The sequence below is a fragment of the Homo sapiens genome, chromosome 8 (assembly GCF_000001405.40).
Source record: "Homo sapiens chromosome 8, GRCh38.p14 Primary Assembly".
NCBI classification, from domain to species: domain Eukaryota; kingdom Metazoa; phylum Chordata; class Mammalia; order Primates; family Hominidae; genus Homo; species Homo sapiens.
The window spans coordinates 25,024,939-25,046,226 of record NC_000008.11 but is presented as its reverse complement, the minus strand read 5'-3'; positions in this window follow the sequence as shown (position 1 = coordinate 25,046,226).

The following is a 21,288-nucleotide window of genomic DNA, read 5'->3' as shown; positions in this document are numbered from 1 at the left end:
GTTTATGCTGAAGGGTATGCCTATCTCTCTTCCTGTCTCATTCTTCACTTTTAACCCTTGACATCTGGGTCCCAGTTCTGACACCGTATTATAGCAGCTCTTCTGGAGGACACCAGTGGTGCTTTATAAATCAATCTATTCTTAACTCTTAATTATCTTGAATTTTGGCTGAATCTGACACTATTGATTCTTCCTCCTTTCCCACAGCCCTTACACACCTCTCGCTACTCCCTGTCTCTGTGAAACTCTATCCTCCTTTGGCTCTCATTACATTTCACTCTTTCAGTTTTCCCACTATTATTCTGACTGTTCCCTCAGTCCCCTGAACTGATTCTTTGCTCTTCCTTCTTGGTCTGAGGATGCTTGTTTCATTCTCATGACTTCAGTTGTCATTGCTACTCTATTGACCCTAAAATGTATAAGTTGTGTTTCAAATGTGTAGATACATTCTATTCCATCACAGAGCAACATATTGAATACCCACCTTTAGACACTCCTGTATCTCCAAGTCAGTTTTCCTATCCAAACCTTCATTTTTATCTTTAAGAGTCTGTGGGTTGTTTCACTTGCAATGTTCAAGGCACCCCAATCCAATATGACTGTACTCATTACCTTCTTCTCCCAAAAAGATCCAGTCTCTTCCTTTCCACTGTTAGTGGCATCATCATTTTGCAAGTTACTCAGATTTAATGATGTAAAACATCCTATGACATAAGCCTACATTTCCTTCACAATTTCTTGTATCCACAGCTTCCCCAACCCATTTCCATTTGTTGATTTTCAGGCCTTCTGACCACTTGCCCAAATTGCTGTAACTTTCATGCTGCCCTAGCAGATTGTTGCCTCTTTTTCTCTCATCTACCTAAACACATTGCTATGATTTCAACATGTCCCCCAGAATCCATGTGTTGGAAACTTAATCCCCAGTGCAACAGTAGTGGGAGGTGAGACCTAATGGGGATGCTTAGGTCATAAGGTGCTGCCCTTATGAGTGGATTAGTGCCATTATGAAAGAGGCTTATAGAAGTGGGTTTGCTCTGCTGAGTGCCTCCTCTTCCACCTTCTCCCACATAATGATGCAGCAGAAAGGCTCTCCCCAGGTGCTGGTACCTTAATCTTGGACTTCCCAGCCTCCAAAACTGTGAGACAACAAATTTCTCTTCATTATAAAGTACCGTTTCTCAGGTATTCTGTTATAGACTGAGACACACATGTTACACCATGTCTATTCCCCAGCAAAGGACATTTAGGAGATCTGTATGTATTATTGCTTTATTATTTCATGCCAAAGTGTCACACTCTGCTGTTTAAGACCATTTCCAACATTATTGGACAATGTTGACAATGTTGTCAATGTTGTCAACCTTTCCAACCTTATTTACCACTCTCCCTCAACTTGCATCATCTGACTTAGTCAAGTGGCCTCACTGCTCCACTCACTCTCCATGCTCAGTTCTACCTCCATGTTGTGTAATGACATCACTTGCACCTAGAGTGTCCCTTCACTGTTGTCCACCTAGTCAAATTCTAATCATCATCTAAGGTTTTGTTCACATGTCGCTTCTCCTGTGAAAACTTTACTGATTATTCCCACTCTATTTATTGTTGGTACTGTGCAATTAATCACTAATTATTCTCTCGCTTATGTTTGGTAGTTTTATCTCTCATTTTAATTATAAATTCCTTGTGGGAGGGGTCCTTTCATCTAGTTCTCGCACTCCCCATGGAGCTCAGCATAGTTTTAGAAAATAATATGTGTTCAATAAATCTTTCATTGATTTACTACTCCTTAATTTAACAAACACTCATTTGACTGAATAAATTGTTGGGTGAATAAATCGAAGTTTGGCTGATTGATTGGTTCTGTTTATTGAATCCATTCAATATTGTGCTCAGTTTTCTGCACTCTAATTTGGGCAGTGAGGGATGCTTAATATTTTATTTCCTTCCACCTCTAAACAATTCCTAGAATGGACTCCCATAAATAAATTTTTGGGATCAAAATATGTCTTCAGTCACTTCCAGGTGCAATTTTAGGGAGCAGAATTTTAGTATCTGTGTGTTAAGGACAGAGCAAGCCAAATGATTTTTGCATTGAAACATCGAAGAGACAGTATAAATCTTAATGAAAAGGTAACTTAAACTCTGGCTCTCTTCCTTGAAGTGACATATTAAACACCAGATCATTTTTTCTCTCTTTTTTTAAATTTTTATTTATTTATTTTTTTGAGATGGAGTCTCATTCTGTTGCCCAGGCTGGAGTGCAGTGGCGTGATCTTGGCTCACTGAAAGCTCCGCCTCCTGGGTTCACGCCATTCTCCTGCCTCAGCCTCCTGAGTAGCTGGGACTACAGGCATCTGCCACCACACCTGGCTAATTGTTTGTATTTTTAGTAGAGACGGGGTTTCACCACATGAGCCAGGATGGTCTTGATTTCCTGACCTTGTGATCTGCCCACCTCGGCCTCCCAAAGTGCTGGGATTACAGGCGTCAGCCACCGTATCTGGCCTTTTCTCTTTATTTTTTAAGAGAAGAATACTATTTCTGAAACCAGAACAAGTGGTACTGCCAATCTGGGTTCTACTTAGTACCCAATGGATTTTAGAGAGTAAGTGAAAAATGCAGTAACACTGGTGTTACTACTTTGCCTTCAAGAGCTTTGTGTCTTCCAAAATCACGCTGTCCTTTATCCAACAAAGTCTATGTGTTGCTAAATGTTCTCACCTTATTGTTTAATCACTCACATTGCAATATCAACTTTCTTATGGGCTGAATTATTTCCCTCTAAATCCACATGCTGAAGTATTATCCCCAGTATACCTCAGAATGTGACTATATTTGGAGATAGGGACTTTACAATGGTGATTAAGTTAAAATTAGGTCTTTAGAGTGGGCCCCAATTAATTCTGACTATTCTTATAAGAAGAGGAAATTTGGACACCCAGAGAGACACTAGGGATGTGTGTGTACAGAGAAAAGACCCTGTTAAGACACAGAGTGAAGGTAACCATCTGCAGGCCAAGGGGAAAATCCTCAGAAGAAACTGACCCTGCCCATACCTTCATCTTGGACTTCTAGCCTCTGAAACTGTGAGAAAATAAGCTTTTGTTGTTTAAGCCATCCCATCTATTGCGTTTATATGGCAGCCTGAGCAGAGGAATGTAAGCATGTATACCGCTGTCTCCATACTGTGCTGAGAGCTCCATGAGAGCAGTGATCAGATTTCATGCAGATTTGCAAATGCTTCACACAAAATTGATAATGACTGAACTTACACAGTGTCATGGAAATGAACTTGTAGCTTGTTTGACTAATTAAAAAGCTCATTCTTGGTGTTGCCTGAATGCTGTGTGCTCAGGACTATTCTATATATTCTGGCTAGTCCCAGAGTGAGTAAAACACAGACCCTACCTCTAAGGAAAGCATTTTTTACTGACCATTATGAAAAGTGTGCAATGTCCTAAAGATATCCTCTATGTATGTTATATAAAGATATTTTTAATATACATATGTATGTATATATATCATAATGTTAGGTCAATGTGTAGTTTATAAGATGGAAAGTGGTCATCACATTGTAGATGTAACTATTATGCTAGTACTGCCTCACACAACTTCACACACACACATATATATATATATATATATATATTTTTTTTTTTTTTTTTTTTTTTTTTGAGACAGGGTCTGGCTCTGTCACCCAGGCTGGAGTGCAGTGATGTGATCTTGGCTCATTGCAACCTCTGCCTCCTGGTCTCAAGCCAACCTCCCACCTTAGCCTTCTGAGTAGTGGGACTACAGGTGCATGCCACTAATGTCTGGTGAATTTTTGTATTTTTTGTAGAGATGGAGTCTCACCATGTTGCCCAAGCTGGTCTCAAACTCCTGAGCTCAAGTGATCTGCTAATCTCAGCTTCCCAAAGTGTCAGGATTACAGGTGTGAGCCACCGTTCCTGGCCAGGAAGCTAATTTTTATTCTCTACAAATTATACTATTGTTCCAGTGTCCTGCTTGGCCTTTTTTCCTTTTCCTTCTTTCTTTTCCTTCCTCCTCCTCCTCTTCCTTCTTCTTCTTTGCATTGCAAAAACCTCTATGAATCTACACTTCATCTGCCAATGTTCTCTTCGGTAAATTATTTCCAACAGAAACAGAAATGTCCAGGTTATCTCATAAAGAAAGCAGAACTCTGGAGGCCAAATAAGTGAAAACAAACATTCTTTGCATCTGCCCAGCCCAGGACTAGGAGCTATGAGACATGCTTTAATTGTTTAGACTATAGTGCATATGTGTTGCATGCTTTCTAAATATTTAAAACCCAGTGATGGAGATATTTCTGAATAATGTATTTCATATAGGTAATATCTGAGTCAATGATGTAGGGTAATGGTTCTGGGATCCCCAGTTCTAGAAAATGCCCATGAGTGGGATGCAATCAGTAGTTTCATGTAGTATGTCAGATAGCACTTCTCTAATACAAACAGGAGCAGTGATTCCTAGCTTCACAACTTGAGAAGACAGACATGACAAGTCTTCAATCATCTTATTGAAAACAAAAAAAGTCACGGGAGTTTGGCATAGATAGTGGGAGCACTTATAGTGTGATTAGATCTACACCATTTATGTGTCATGACCCATGTAAGTCGGGCACCATTCCATTTGGCTAAAACACGTGTTCAAAACCTGAGAGTCATGAAACTACTTCAGTGCTGCTAGGAAAATGCTGAGGCAACTGGTGACTGCTCTGTGAGGTCCAGAGATCTTCAGGGTAGGAAACTGGCCCTTTGGTAGGGTACTGTGAAGTGAAAACCTACCAGATCATGATTTTGAATGCTGCAAAACCTACCAGATCATGGTTTTGAATGCTGCAAAACAGAACTAAATTTTAACCTCCCTTTCTTCTAATGTAAACCTTAACTGATATTGCCCTTAGAAAAACTGTACACATGCTAATAGCAAATAATAAGAATAAAAATCCTCTTTTACAGGGACTTTTGGGCTTGTTAGGAACCAGGGGTACCATTAAGAGACAATTCCGGTATCTCATGGATGTGAGGAAGCAGAGCTAATAATAACATAACATAAAGTAACATGCAGACATATGAGTTGAAAGTAAAAAGATTAAAAAAGATATACCATGAAATCACCCAAAGAAAACAGAAGAAAATAATAAAGAAAAGTGAAGAAATCAGTGAAATATAAAAATGGGAAACAATTTTTAAAAATCAACAAAAGCAGAAGTTGATTATTTGGAAATTGTAATAAAATTGCTTAATAATTTTTTTTTCTTTTTTTTTTTTTTTGAGACGGAGTCTCGCTCTGTCCCCCAGGCTGGAGTGCAGTGGTGCTATCTCAGCTCACTGCAAGCTCCGCCTCCCGGGTTCACGCCATTCTCCTGCCTCAGCCTCCCGAGTAGCTGGGACTACAGATGCCCGCCACCGCGCCCGGCTAATTTTTTGTATTTTTAGTAGAGACGGGGTTTCACCGTGTTAGCCAGGATGGTCTCAATCTCCTGACCTCGTGATCTGCCCTCCTCGGCCTCCCAAAGTGCTGGGATTACAGGCGTGAGCCACCGTGCCCAGCCTATAAAGTTTTGTTAATAAATCTAACAAAAGCCCCTAATCTAGAAAAAAGAGAAAACACAAACTAGTAATAACTGGAATGAAAAATGGAACATGATTACATCTTATAGACATTAAGTAATAAAAAATATATAACTAATGTCAATAAATTTAACAACTTAGAATAAATGTAGAAATTCTTTGAATACACAACTTTCTGAAACTTATTTAAGAATAGAAAATCTGAATAGTCTTGTATCTATTAAAATTTAAAAAAAAGATTAAAATTTCACAGAGAAACTCTGGGACCAAATGTCTTTACTGATGAATTACAAAAGCAAAACAAAGAAACAAACAAACAAAAAAAAAAAAACAAAACAAACATTTGATGATGGAAAACTACCAATTTTACATAAATTATTCCAAAAAACAAGAAGAGAGAACATTTCCCAATGCATTTTATGAGGACAGCATAACCGTGATACCAAAACCTGATAAAGACATTATAAAAAAGAAAATTATAGTCCAGTATTCCTCATGAATATATATATGAAAAGTTCTCAACTATTATTAGCCAGTCAATTCCAGCAATAATATAAAAAAGATAATACATAGTGGTCAAATAGGGTTTATCTTAGGAATAGAAATTGGCTTAACATTTGTAAATCAATCAATGTACTTTACCATATAAACAGAATAGAGGGGAAAGTATGATTATTTCAATATATGCAGAAATATCATTTGATACAATTCAACAACTGACCTTGGTTAAAATTCTTATGAAACAGGGAATGGAAGGAAGTTTCTTCAATTTGATAAAGAATATCTGTTAAGGTTGAGTGCAGTGGCTTATGCCTGTAATTCCAGCACTCTGGGAGGCCCAGGCAGGTGGATCACCTGAGGTCAGGAGTTGGAGACCAGTCTGGCCAACACGGTGAAACGCTGCTTCTACGAAAACACAAAACTTAGCCGGGCATGGTGGCACGTGCCTGTAGTCCCAGCTACTCAAAAGGCTAAGGCACAAGAATCGCTTGAACCCAGCAGGCAGAGGTTGCAGTGAGCCAAGACTGCACCATTACATTTCAGCATGGAAGATAGAGTGAGAGTCTACCTCAATCAAAAAAACAAAAAAAAAAAGAAAAAGAATCTATGAATATCTGTTAAAATCCTAATATACTTAATGGTGCAATATTAACTGCTTTCCCTCGAAGATCTGTAAAAAGAAGTGATGTCTGCTCTTACTGCTTCTATTCAACATAGTACTGGAAGACTAAGTGGTGGAAGTGGAAAAGTACCCCATGAGAAATAAAAGAGGCAAAAGCTGAAAAAGAAGAAGCAAAGATACCTCAATTGGGAGCTGACATGTTTCTGTTAGGAAATTCCAAGACATCTATAAGCCACTTGAACCAATAAGTAAATTTAGCAAAATTGAGGAATATACATCAATATTTTAAAATCCATTATTTTTCTATATACTAACAATAAACACTGAAAAATGCGACTTAAAAACAATACCATTTTCAATGGCATCAAAGAAATTCCCCTAATATCCGGGAATAAATCTAACAAAAGATGTCTAAGACCTCTATACTGAAAAGTATGAAACATTGCGAAGAGATATTTGTAATAAATGGAGAGATGTATCATAATCACTGACTGGAAATTTTAAATTGTTAAGATGTCAATTCTTATCAAATTGATTTATAGATGCAATGCTATTCCAATTAAAATCCCAACAGACTTTTAACATTTGTAAATCAATCAATGTACTTTACCATATAAACAGAATAGAGGGGAAAACATGATTATTTCAATATATGCAGAAATATCATTTGATACAATTCAACAACTGACCTTGGTTAAAATTCTTATGAAACAGGGAGTGGAAGGAAGTTTCTTCGATTTGATAAAGAATATCTGTTAAAGTTGGGTGCAGTGGCTTATGCCTGTAATCCCAGGACTTTGGGAGGCCCAGGCAGGCTGATACCTGAGGTCAGGAGAAGTTTTGTAGAAGTTAATGAGCTGATTCAAAAATGCAAAGGATATAGAATAGCCAGGACAGCCTTGAAGAAGAAGAACACAGCTGGAGGGCTTATTTGTCAGACTGCAAAGGTTACTACCATCAGTTGACTTTTGTCAAACACATAAACAATTTAATAGGGAAACAAACTTAATTTCAATAAATGACACTGTAGCTGGGTAACCATATGAAATACCTTGACCAGTACCACACCACACACATAAAAGTTAATTTAACATGGAACCTAGGCCTAAAAGTAAAAGTTAAAATTATAAAATTTTCGGAAGAGAACTCAGAGGAATATCTTCATGATCTTTGGAGAGCAAAGATTATTTAAGCACAAAAAGTACTAATGACAAAGGAAAAACAATGATGAATTGGACTTTGCCAAATTAAGAAAATGTCTGTTGATTGAAAGACAATGTCAAGACAGGAAAAAGGCAAGCCACAAACTGGGAGAAAATATTGGAATCCATATATATGTAATGGATTCCAATATATAAAATATAGCTAAGTTTGTATTTTTAGAAGAGACAGGATTTTCCATGTTGGTCAGGCTGGTCTTGAACTCCTGACCTCAAGTGATCTGCCCGCCTTGGCCTCCCAAAGTGCTGGGGTTACAGGCGTGAGCCACTGCGCCCAACTGGAATCCATATATTTGACAAAGAACTTGTATTGAGAATAAATAAAGAATGCCTATAATTCAGCAGACAAATCAACCTAAATATGGGCAAAAGATTTGAAGAACCTCAACAAATAAAGATGTCTGTAGGCTTAATATGAATAGATTCTTCTCATGAAACATCATTAAACATCAGGTAAATATAAATGAAAACCATAATGAGGTACCATTAACATTTTCAGGATGGGTAAAATTAAATAGGGTGTAAATATAAAGGTTGATGAGGATGATGAGCAACTGCAATACTTATATTTCCTGGTAGAAGTACGTATTGGTATAACCGCTGTTGAAAACTGAGTTTCTAATAGAGTTAGATACCTGTCTATACATGTGTACCTATAACCCTGCAATTCCATGCCAAAGTATTTATTCAAGGAAAATGATACGTATGTCCACAAAGTGACTTGCACAAAATATTCAAACAGAAAACTGGCAACACCCAGATGTTCGTCAATAGGAAAACAAACACATTGTGGCATGCTTCTATGTGGAATACTACTCAGTAATAAAAAAAGAATAAAGTATTGATACATACAACAACATGAATGAATCTCAAAAACATAACATCGAGTGCGAGAAGTCAGACACAAAAGAGTACATACATTGTATGATTCTATTCCAATATATTAATCCATTTATATGGAATCAAGAATAGTCAAATCTATGATGATTGGAGTCAGGATAGTGGTTGTGGGGTGGGAGGAGGATAGGCTGAGAAGGGGCAGGTGTTGGAAATGTTGGTCAGAATAATGGTTTATACATTTGTAAAAATGCATCGAGTTATTCATTTAAGATTTGTGAATTTTACTGCTTATAAACTATTTCTCAAGAAGGTGCAAGAAACAAAGAGCATATAATGAGTGCAACAAAAACTGCTACAATCAGTGTTGCAGGAACTCAGCAGAGAAAAGTGACTCAACAGGAAGGCTGGATGAGTAAGATTCAAAGAGTAGGCAGAAAAGGACCTGAACCCCGCAGAATGACTAATATTTATAGGGGAATGGAATGGTTGTGGTGGGCGGTTTCACCTAGACCAACCAATGCAAAAAGCTTGTAGTAATTCTAAATCTCAGGAGCTCACATTGGCACTATGACTCTTTATGACTTTGAGAGTCACTAGAGGTATACTTCAATCAAAGATCTCTTTTTTCTAACTAACTTAAAAATGAAAAATTGATAACGCATAGTAAACATTTTAGGCCAACCAAATAAGTTTGGTGTTTGCAACAGCCATATTCAACGTTTCATGATGGTCTGGGCTTATTTTGAAATTGTCTTTTTGCTCGGTTGTACAATAACCAAAGTCATGGGTGGGACAAACTGGAAACTTCCCAAAAGCCTTTTGAAAATAGATGAAATATAAACTATAGAGTGATAAAAACTTAAAGATTCATCTTGGCAGTGGCTCACACCTGTAATCCCAACACTTTGGGAGGCCAAGGTGGGTGGATCACCTGAACTCAGGAGTTCAAGACCAGCCTGGCCAACATGGCAAAATCCTGTCTCTACTAAAAAATACAAAAAAAAAAAAAAAAATTAGCCGGGTGTGTTGGGGGGTGCCTGTAATCCCAGCTACTTGGGAGGCTGAGACAAAAGAATTGCTTGAACCTGAGAGGTGGAAGTTGCAGTGAGCCGAGGTTGTGCCACTGCACTCCAGACTGGGCAAAAGAGCAAGACTCCATCTCAACAACAACAACAACAACAACAGCAACAAACAAACAAACATCTTGGATTTTAGCATTCTTTTTTTTTTTTTTTTGAGACAAAGTCTCACTCTGTCTCCCAGGCTGGAGTGCAGTGGCAGGATCTCGGCTCACTGTAACCTCTGTCTCCCAGGCTCAAGCAATTCTCCTGCCTCAGCCTCCCAGGTAGCTGGGATTACAGGAACATGCCACCATGCCTGGCTAATTTTTGTATTTTTAGTAGAGACAGGGTTTTGCCATGTTGGCCAGGCTGGTCTCAAATTCCTGACCTCAAGAGATCTGCCTGCCTTGGCCTCCCAAAGTGCAAGGATTCCAGATGTTAAACAGTCTCATTTTAAAAACTGAGAATTGATTACATCGTCTCTAAGGCTTCTTCCACTTTCAACAAAGCTGCAATCAAAGGTTTGATTTGCTAATTAATCTAATCATTCTGACTTGAAATGTCCTCTATAATCTGGTCCCAAGTCCCCTTACCATTTAAATCCTGTTTGCTTCCCAAATAACCACATCCTCATTCAAAGCCTACAGCTTTTCTGAGTCCTCCTTTTACACCATCTCCTCTTATTAGAAAGTTGTTTTCATGGGTATATGATGGCAGAAACAAAACAAAACAAAAGTAAGTTGTTTCCAGCTGGGTGTGGTGGCTTTCACCTGTATCTCAGCACTTTGGGGGGCCAAGGCAGGAAGATCACTTCAGGCCAGGAGTCTAAGACCAGCCTGGGTAGCATAGCAAGACTTTGTCTCTATAAAAAAACTAAAAAAAGTAACCAACATGGAGAAACCCTATCTCTACTAAAAATACAAAATTAGCCGGGCATGGTGGTGCATGCCTGTAATCCCAGCTACTTGGGAGGCTGAGGCAGGAGAATCGCTTGAACCCAGGAGGCGGACGTTGTGATGAGCCAAGATGGCACCACTGCACTCCAGCCTGGGCAACAAGAGGGAGACTCCATCTTAAAAAAAAAAAAATTAAAAAATTAGCTGTGTGTAGTGGCACATGCCTGTAGTCTTAGCTACCCCAGAGGCTGTGGCAGGAGGACTGCTTGAGCCCAAGAGTTCCAGGCTACAGTACAGTGAGTTGTAATTATGCTACTGCACTCCAGCCTGAGAGAGTGAGACCCTACCTCCAAAAAAAAAAAAAAAAAAGTTGTTTCCGTCTAGAATGCTTTAGCTACCTTCTCTGTACATTGACCCCTTCCCAGCCCTTTGGACCGATTTACTCAATGAAGACTCCCTTTACCACAATGATCAGCCCTCCCCTGCATTCCTGCAGTGTTTGGGATTAAAATCATTTATTTGGCAAGTATCATCTAGGGCCTTGTGTTATTGGTTATCCTTCAATATATCTGTTTTCTCTCCCAGCTAGAATGTAAGGAGAAATAATGCAGAACTTACAACATACACTTTCTCTGCAAAATTTCCTGTAGCATCTAGTTATGTTATTTCCAATCGAGACTCAACAAATACCTGGTGATTAATTGATTGGTTTATCCAGGTTACGAAGTATTCTTCAGATACTACTCACATTTCAGAATAGTATCATTTTGAAAATGAGGCATCAAATATGCACACATGCAATTCCCCAAAGGAGGGCCCATTTGCTGGCAGGAATGTTTCCACGTGAAATCAGGAAAGCGGCAGAAGCAACAATCTCAGACCTAGGGATCTCAGATTTACAGTGATGTTGATGGATTGGAACATGTTATTAGCAAAGGCAGACTGGCTAAATCACAGACTAAGAAGCATAATAAGCTTTGGCATCTAGTATGCTTTGCTAAATTAAAGTTTAAAAAGGAAGACATGAATAAATGAAACAGTTACTTGACAGCAGGCCTATTAAATGAAAATGAATCCATGCAAGTTCCAGAACACACATTAAGCCACTTTAGATACCACTTAATCATGAAACTAAAAATATCCTCCAAGCACTCAGCTCATTTATGAGTTTGCTGAAAATGAATTAGACAGTATGAGAGGAATTAGTACCTGGTTACAAAGGAAATTTGAAGCCCTTTAAAAATTCTATTATTAGTAATCTGGTAGCAGCATTAATCATAGTTGTGTAGGTGGAGGCTGTGGACTCTTGGGCACTCTGATGATGTCTATTCTCTGCTTATAACATTATAATGACTTTCCATGGCCCTTGATATAATATTCAAAATCCTTTACATTTCACAAAGCAGTGCATCACATGCTCCTAACTTTGCAGCTTCTTCTAACAGTTTCCCTCTTTTCTCTGTGCTCCAGCCCACTGGCTTGTTGGTTTCCACATACTGTACGTGATTCCCTGCCTCAAGGCCTTAGCATATGTTCTTTTGCTTTCTGCCTGGAGCACTCTCCTATTTTTTGCACAGATACTCCCTATTCAATCGTATTACTTTCTTGGGAAGCTATGGGGAGTTCTTTTATTACAAATTCTTACAGCACTCTGTGCCTCTGTTTAACGATAAAAATCAAAATCAGAATAAGTGCACATAAATTTTATTTTTTGGTTTAATGTCTGTCTTCCACATTAGATTTTGTTCACGGGAATATCTTTTCCTCTGACCTTATGTTTCCCTGTGCAGGTACTTCCACCAGGGTAATCCTCCTACCTCTCTTTACACCCCTTCTCAGGTAGTAATTTTTCAGCTTTGAGTTTGGGAGAAAGAACTGGGCATGCATGGCTTAACCCCTTGAGAATTTCTCTTTTCTGTTGCTGGTTTGTTGGCAAGAACCACATCCTGGATTGCTTTGCCCTGGGCGGGAGGTGTATCCCTAAATGACAGAAGGTCGACATTTGTCCAGCAAGATGTGTGACCTGGTGGTGGAATATCCAATAGGTCTGTCAATAATATTGTGGACATTTTGATGTTTGCTTCTTTGGTTGCTGTTTTATTTCTCATTTAGCACAAAGCTTGAAAGGGGAAAAAAAGATGTTAAAAATTTTATTAGATTATACATTTGTCTTATTTATCCAATGTAACCCCAGCACCCAACCCAGTTCCTACAAATTAATGACTGTTTCATAAATATTTATCACATGTATGAATTATTTAACCTCTCTAAGCCGGTTTCCTCAAATGTAAAATGGTGATAAAACCTACCAATCTGGCAGTGTTTTATAGGTGTCCAAGATACTATATTGAAGCACCCAGTATAGTACCTGGCATGTGGTTAAATGGATAAATATTCTGTAGCTATTATTATCTGTCTGCACCAACTGAGAATGATTTCTGTTTAGAGCTATTCCCTTCCACCAGGAGTCAAGATAATAACCATATGTCATTTGTGTCTCAAGGAAACACAAATCTTTCTTAAACATAACATAAAGTTTTTGTTTTTGTTTTTGTTTTTTGAGACGGAATCTCACTGTGTCGCCCAGGCTGGAGTGTAATGGTGCCATCTCGGCTCACTGCAACCTCTGCCTCCTGGGTTCAAGCGATTCTCCTGCCTCAGCCTCCTGAGTAGCTGGGATTACAAGCACGTGCCACCATGCCCATCTAATTTTTGTATTTTTCATAGAGATGGGGTTTCACCATGTTGGTCAGGCTGGTCTCAAACTCCTGACCTTATGATCTGCCTGCTTTGGCCTCCAAAGTGTTGGGATTACAGGTGTGAGCCACCATGCCTGGCCTAAAAATAACATAAAGTTTTACAACGCAACACTACATAGACCAGAAAGATTATCTACAATATTGAATAAGATATAATCTATTCAATGTATGCATATAGATTTAAAGGAAATTACCAAAAATATATAAGACATTATATTCTTGTTCTCTTGTCCCTTATTGATCTTTCCATACTGAATTATTGAGAAAGCACTTTCAAAACCATAGTTAGAGTACAATATCTTCTGGACTTGGTTTAAATATACTCTGTGTAATTCTGTGTGAACTGCATCATCCTTGGCATCTTGCACTGGTCTCTATCACATTGGCCATTCTTGGTAACAAGATTGTTGCACTGGCTGTGTTTAGCTCTCTCACTCTCAGCCTATAACTTCCCAGCACCCAGTCCCTGCATTCAGACATTCTGCTTCAGCTGTGCATTTCAGTGACAAATGCTGTCAGGAATGGCAGTGCCTCAGGATGTAGATTATAAAAGAGGAAAAGATGCATTATTATGGAGGGCTGGTGGGGTGAGGGAAAGCCTTTTTATAACTGGCTATCTGTTGGCAGTCTCATTTGAACAAATGTGGAGTGTCTCCACTTCTTATGTGACAGACTGACAAATTTATCTCTTTAAAAGTTGAAGGGAAGTCGGCTTGCAGTTGGAATGAAGAAGGATACAAAAAATCTTTGCTCCTAAGGTAACAAAAAAGGAAGGAAGGAAGGAAAAAGAAGGAAGGAAGGAAGGAAAGAAGGAAAGAAGGAAAGAAGGGAAAGAAAGAAAGGAAGAAAGAAGAGAAAGAAAGTAAGAAAGAAAAAGAGAAAGAGAGGCAAAAGAAAAATCATAGTTTTCTGTGGATCTAGCTAAGAGCAGTAGATGCAAAGAAGCCATGATGAGCTGATGTCCAAAGAAAATGGGCTCCTCATCAATGAGTGGAGAGGAGCCTAAGCGTCCATCCTTGGGGGTGGATGCCTAGTCTGGTGGAGATGAGAAGAAACAAGTCGGCTGTAGATGGGGAGTCTGCACGGATGAGAAAGACACCCAGGCCTTGAATGGTAGTGAGGGCTGGCTGACTGGGTTGGACTTTGGAAGAACCCCAAATGCAAAGTCAAACGACTTGATCCAACCATCCTTTTTACTCCCCACCGCCCCCTACAACACACACTCTTCCATCCTGATTTTTTCAGAGAAGGCAACAGTCTGGGAGGGATGAAAAGCGGAAAGACTATATGTCCAGAATTTTGTCTAGATTCTAGGGCACTACTGGAGCTGAATTATAAACCAAAATTATCTGAAGTAGAAACCCAACCTACTCCCAGTTGAAATACTGATAGGATCCAAAAATATCAGCCCCTGGGCAGTGGGTGCAGCACTGGGGATTGGGCTAATCAGAGATTAACTCAATCTAGTTAAAACCAGGGTCCAGCTCCAGCTCCAGCTGGCTCTAGGAGGAATCTGAATAATCAGCACTGTCTCCTCAACCCTCATCAGCAGCTAGAGAAAAGGGCTTTCACTTGCTTGGAAATAAACAAAATATAATACTCCAGTCTCCATTCTTTTTTAAACAGGAGTATAATAAAAGGTGTTAAGTTGGGCACAGTGGTGCAAGCCTGTAATCCCAGCTACTTGGGAGGTTGAGGCAGGAGTAAAACTGCCTTTTGCAAAGATTATGACAGTGAGAGAAGTCTAGCATGGCTTGCCCCATTTTCTTTCTAGCCTCACAGGCTGGCTGTCTTCATTCATTCCTGGGCACAGGGCAAATTAACCATGGGAGAAATTTAGTTTGTGGTTTAACTTTGAAGCAAGGATGAAAATAGTTTCTCCCTGAAACTGACTCCTTCTTTGTTGGGGAACTGAAACCACTATAGTAAGACTAATGAAAGCCACAAGATTAGGATTATGGGAGGGGCTCAAATTCTGCTGAAATGTAGGTGTAGCTTGCCTTTTCATAATCATTTACTGCACTGGAGGTCACAAGATTTGTGACTTCTCCAATTGCTCCTATATAGATAACATCACTATTGTAGGACCTAATATTGCTCTTTTGAGATGTTTTTCAGACTTTTGCATTCATGCAACCAACTGACTCCACCCAGACCCAGGACTCATGACTCAATAGGTCCCATGGCCCCCACCCAGAGGCTGACTCAGTGTACAAGGACTGTTTTCCACACCCCTATGGTTTCAGCACCACCAATCAATAGCACCCATTCCCTAGCCCCCTGCCCACCAAACTATCCTTGAAAAACTCTAACCTTTGAGGCTTTGGGAAGACAAACTTGAGTGAAAACTCCCGTCCTCTAGCTTGGCTATGTTGTGGTAACTAAACTCTTCCCCTATTGCAATACTATTGTCTCAGTGAATTCGGTTTATCTGTGCAGTGGGCAAGAAGAACATATCAGGCAATTACAGGAGGATTGCTTGAGCCCAGGAATTTGAAGTTCAAATCTGGCCAGGGCAACATAATGAGACCCTGTCTCTAAATATGTGTGTGTGTGTGTGTGTGTGTGTGTGTGTGTATACATACATATATATGTGTGTGTGTATACATACATATATATGTGTGTGTGTATACATACATATATATGTGTGTGTATACATACATATTTGTGTGTGTGTGTATATATATATACACACACACACAATGCTAGGCTAATGGTTTCGGCATGGACTCTGTCCATGGTTCTGGATCATGGGATTAATTAACAAATAATTTGTTTTCACTAGAAGCTGAAGTATTTAGCTAAAATCATATAATGCCAGGTTAACATTCCTTTTCTGAATAGAGTAACCAGACTAAGCAGTTTGGAGCAAAACTGTTTCCATAGTACATCTGGGATTCAGCCAAAAATTTGATAAAGGTTTTCACGAGGTCATATATATATATATATATATATATATATATATATATATATATATATATATACATACACATACATGTGAAGAAGCAGGAAAATATGACCTTCCATTATATGACCTTCCATTTGAGCAAAGCAGTCACTAGAAGCAAATCCAGTTATTAGAGTTAGAGGACAATGATTTTAAACAATAAAACAAGTATTAAAAAATGTTCAGGAATTTATAGGAAAAGATAGACATAATACGTAAAGACATGGGGCACTTCAGGAGGGAAATCAACACTTTAACAAAAGAACAAAATGGAAATTCTAGAATTAAAAAATACAATATCTGACATTTAAAAAATCATTGAATGGGCTCAATAACCAATTGTATGCCACCGTGGAACAAAGCACTGAACTTGAGGAAAGGTCAGTGGAAATTACTCAAACTGAAGGAGAAAAGAAAAACAGCTGGAAAAAAAATGAACAGAATGTCAGGACCTGTGAGATATTATCATGTGGTCTAACCTACATGTAGTTGAAATCCCAGGAAAGATAAGAAAGAACGAAACCGGAGAAATCTTTTGAAGAAATAAGAGCCACAATTTTTCCAAATGTGGTGAAGAATATCAACTCAAAGTCCCAAGGAGCTCAGAAAGCCCCAAGCAAGACCAACACAAAGATATCTACGCAAAGGCATGCTAAATCTGTGGTCCAGCCCAACTCAACTGAGCTCTAGCAGAAATCTGAATGACTTGTAACCCCCACTTCAACCTTACCATCAGGCAGAGAAAAGGACTTTCACTCTCTCAGAAATAAACAGCACATAAATACCGTATCCAGGTATTGTCCTACTTTTCAAACTGGTAAAAATCAAAGATCAAATCTTAAAACACCCAGAGGAGGTGAAGGACTAAGTGATGGTTATTCTGGTCCTAAATGTGACAAAAATAAAACTTTTTCCCAAAGTAGAAGTGATGGAAGTTTGAGCAAAAATAATTATACAATTTTGGAGTTCACAAGAAAAAGACAGGCTGATGTGTTTCCATCATTTTTAGAAAGTCGGATTGAAAACTGAATTTTTTGGCATAATTTTGTGGCATAAAACTCTGAAAGGGAATATAACACGTAAAGCTTTCACACATATAATTCTGAATGCGCACTTGTAAGAGATTCCAAAGAGGAAGGGTGTGTTTTGAAGTGATAATGGAAGCCCACAAAGGAAGAAGAATATCCAATTAAGTGAAATGAATCCAAGTCTTTATGCTCAGAAGTACTCTTTTCCAGAGTACTGAGATATCTTGAAGACGAAATTTACAAACTGCTGCCCTGAGGAATATATGTGAATATATATGCATTTGTTTCTTTTTTTTTTTTTTATTAGTCTTGGAATCAGAAGAGGTACCAGAATACTAGAGATGGGCACAATTTGTTCTGTTTTCAAAATAGTAAAGGTGTGTTCTTAAAATGCTAGGCTAATAGTTTTGGCATGGACTCTGTCCATGGTTCTGGATCATGAGATTAATTAACAAATAATTTGTTTTCACTAGAAGCTGAAGTGTTTAGCTAAAATCACACAATGCCAGGTTAACATTCCTTTTCTGAATAGAGTCACCAGGCTAAGCAGTTTGGAGCAAAACTGTTACCATAGTACACCTGGGTTTCAGCCAAGTATTTGATAACGGCTTTCATGAGGTCTTTGTGGAAAAGTTGGAGAAATGTATAAATGAATAGGTTGATTAATAACTGATTATAAGGCCATTTTCCCCATGTGCTGACACATGGACTGATGTTAATCAGCATGTAAAGATGTCTCTATTACTCCCTTCTTCATCTCTCAATGCCTCCTTAACCCACTGAGACCCAGATTCTGCCCACATCCCTCCAATGAAGCAAGACTTTCTAAGGTCCCCAGTGACTTGGTGGTCTCTAGACCTCATGGATATTTTATTTCACCTGCCTTCTCAGGACAGTGGGCACTCCTGTAGGCACTATACTTGGAAACTTCTGAACTTGATTTTGGAGTCAGCACTCTCACCTGATTTTCTTCTTTCTTTTCTTTCTTCTTTCCTCTTTCCAATGCTCCTCCTCCTCCTCCTCCTTCTTCCTCTTCTTTTTTTTGACACAGTCTCACTCTGTCACCCAGGCTGGAGTGCAGTGGCACAATCTCGGCTCACTGCAGCCTTCACTTCCTGTGTTCAAGCGATTCCCCTGTCTCAGCCTCCCAAGTAGCTGGAATTGCAGGCACATGCCACCAAGCCTGGCTAATTTTTGTAATTTTTTTTTTTTTTTTTTTTTTTTTTTAGTAGAGACGGGGTTTCACCATGTTGGCCAGGCTGGTCTCGGACTCCTGACCTCAAATGTTTCAAGTGCTGAGATTACAGGCGTGAACTACTGCACCTGGTTTCTTCTTTCATTTCTGCCACCTCAATAACACAGGGCTCTGATATCCCCAGAAATCCTTAATTACTGATGTTCTCCAAAGTTCTGATTTAGACTCACTGCTCTTTTTCTTCTAACCATTTTCCTTGGGTTTTCTGATTTGTTTGTTGAATTCAACTTTATGAGTTCACTGATAGTGTTCAGGTGTCTGGGCTGCAGCCCAGATTTGTCTGCTGGAAGCCCCATACATTCATTAAGCTGCCTGCGGGCATCCCCACTTACATGTACCACAGATGGCTCACACATATGTTCAAAGCTACATTTGTCACTGCTCCTGTCAAAATCAGTCTTTACTCCTTTTCTTGTGTTTTCTATATCAGCGAATAGCACCCTGTTCATGTAACATACTCAGGCCAGAAACCTAGGAGCCACACTTAACTCCTCCTTGCCGTCTGCCTTGAACTAAATTGTGTCCCCACCCATCACCAAATTCATATGTTGAGTCCCTAGCCTCTAATATGATTATATTTGGAGATAGGACTTTAAAGAGGTCGTTAAGGCTAAATGAGGTCATAAGGGTGGGGTTCTAATCTGATAGGATTTGTGGCTTTATAAGAAGAGAAAGAGGGAGAGACATCTCTATTTCTCTTCATGCCCATGCACTGTGGAAAGGCCGTGTGAGGACAGTGAGAAGGCAGCTGTCTGTAGGCCAGGAAGAGAGGCCTTCTCAGAACCTGACCATGCTGGAACCCTGATCTTGAACTTCCAGCTTCCAGAATTGTGAAAAAATACATTTCTGCTGTTCAAGTTACCCAGTCTATGGTATTTTGTTAGAGTAGCCGGAGTAGACCAAGATAGTAACAAAAAGTTCATAAAGACCTATCTATTCTACCTCTTAAATATATATATATAATACTTTTCTACCTTGTTATTCTCAATGCCACTGATCTACTTTAGAATCTCATCATTTCTTGCCTTCATGTTCTCCATTAGCTCTCCTTGTCTTTTTTGTTGTTGTTGTTGTTTTTCTTGAGACAGGGTCTTCTTCTGTTGCCCAGGCTGGAGAGCAGTGGTGCAATCTCGGCTCATTGCAGTTTTCAACTCCTGGGCTCAAGTAATCCTTCCATCTCAACCTCCTGAGTAGCTGGGACTGCAGGCATGCACCATCATTCCGGGCTAATTTTTGTATTTTTAGTAGAGATGGGTTTTCACCATGTTGGCCAGGCTGATCTTAAACTCCTAAACTCAGTGATCTGCCCACCTCGGCTTCCCAAAGTGCTGGGATTACAGGTGTGAGCCATCGTGCCTGGCCAGATCTTCTTGTCTTTGTACTTTTCATCCCCCAATTCATTCCTCCTTTTAGTGTCAGAACAATTCCTCTGAAAATATGAACGCAGACATTCTCTCGTCTGCTGAAAATGAACCATTTGATCCCATTTATTTTCAGGATAAAGTCCAACTTTCTTAGCAATACATATAAGGTCCTACCAATTCTGACTTGTATATTTTTTTTTCTTGAGACAGAGTCTCACTCTGTCACCCAGACTGGAGCGCACTGGTGCCATCTTGGCTCACTGCAACCTCTGCCTCCTGGGTTCAAGCGATTCTGTTGCCAAGCAGCTGGGACTACAGGCGTGCATCACCAAGCCTGGCTAATTTTTTGTATTTTTAGCGGAGATGGGGTTTTGCCATGTTGGCCAGGCTGGTCTTGAACTCCTGGCCTCAAGTTATCTGCCCACCTTGCCTCCCAAAGTTCTGGGATTACAGGCATGAGCCACCATGCCCAGACCCTATTCTGACTTCTATTTACTTTTCCATCCTTATCTCTCTTATTGCCCCCTCATACCTTACATTCCAACCATGCTGAAAAGTTTACATTTTCCCCATACTTTGATATACTTGATGCTTATTCTTCTTTGCTGAAATGGTAGGCTCAAATTGAGGACTTAATTACAAGAGTTAGACAAGCTTCCTCTAATGAAGAAGACAGACAAGCAAAAAATTACCATAATATAACCGTGTCCACAGTAGAGATTTGTTCAAAAGGCCATGGAGCACAAAGGAAGAAAGTAAGCAATAGAAAATGTTACAGCCAGTCCTTTACCTGAGGGTGTGCTGTGGTTTGAATGCTGTGTATCTTCCAAAACTCATGTTGAAACTTAATCTCCAGTGCACCAGTGTTCAGAGGTGGGCCATTAGGAGGTGATTAAGTCATGAGGGCCCTGCCCTCATGAATGGGATTAGTGCCCTGATAAAAGGGCTCAAGGGAACTAGCTGGGCCTTTTTGCCCTTTTGTCCCTTCCGCCATGTCAGGACAGAGCATCCACCTCCTCCAGTGGATGCAGCAATCAGGAGCCATCTTAAAAGCAGAGAGCAGCCCTCACCAGATGCTGAATCTGTTGATGCCTTGATCTTGGATTTCCCACCCTCCAGAACTATGAGGCATAAGTTTCTGTTCTTCATAAATTACCCAATCTCAGGTATTTCATTATAGCAGTACAAAATGACT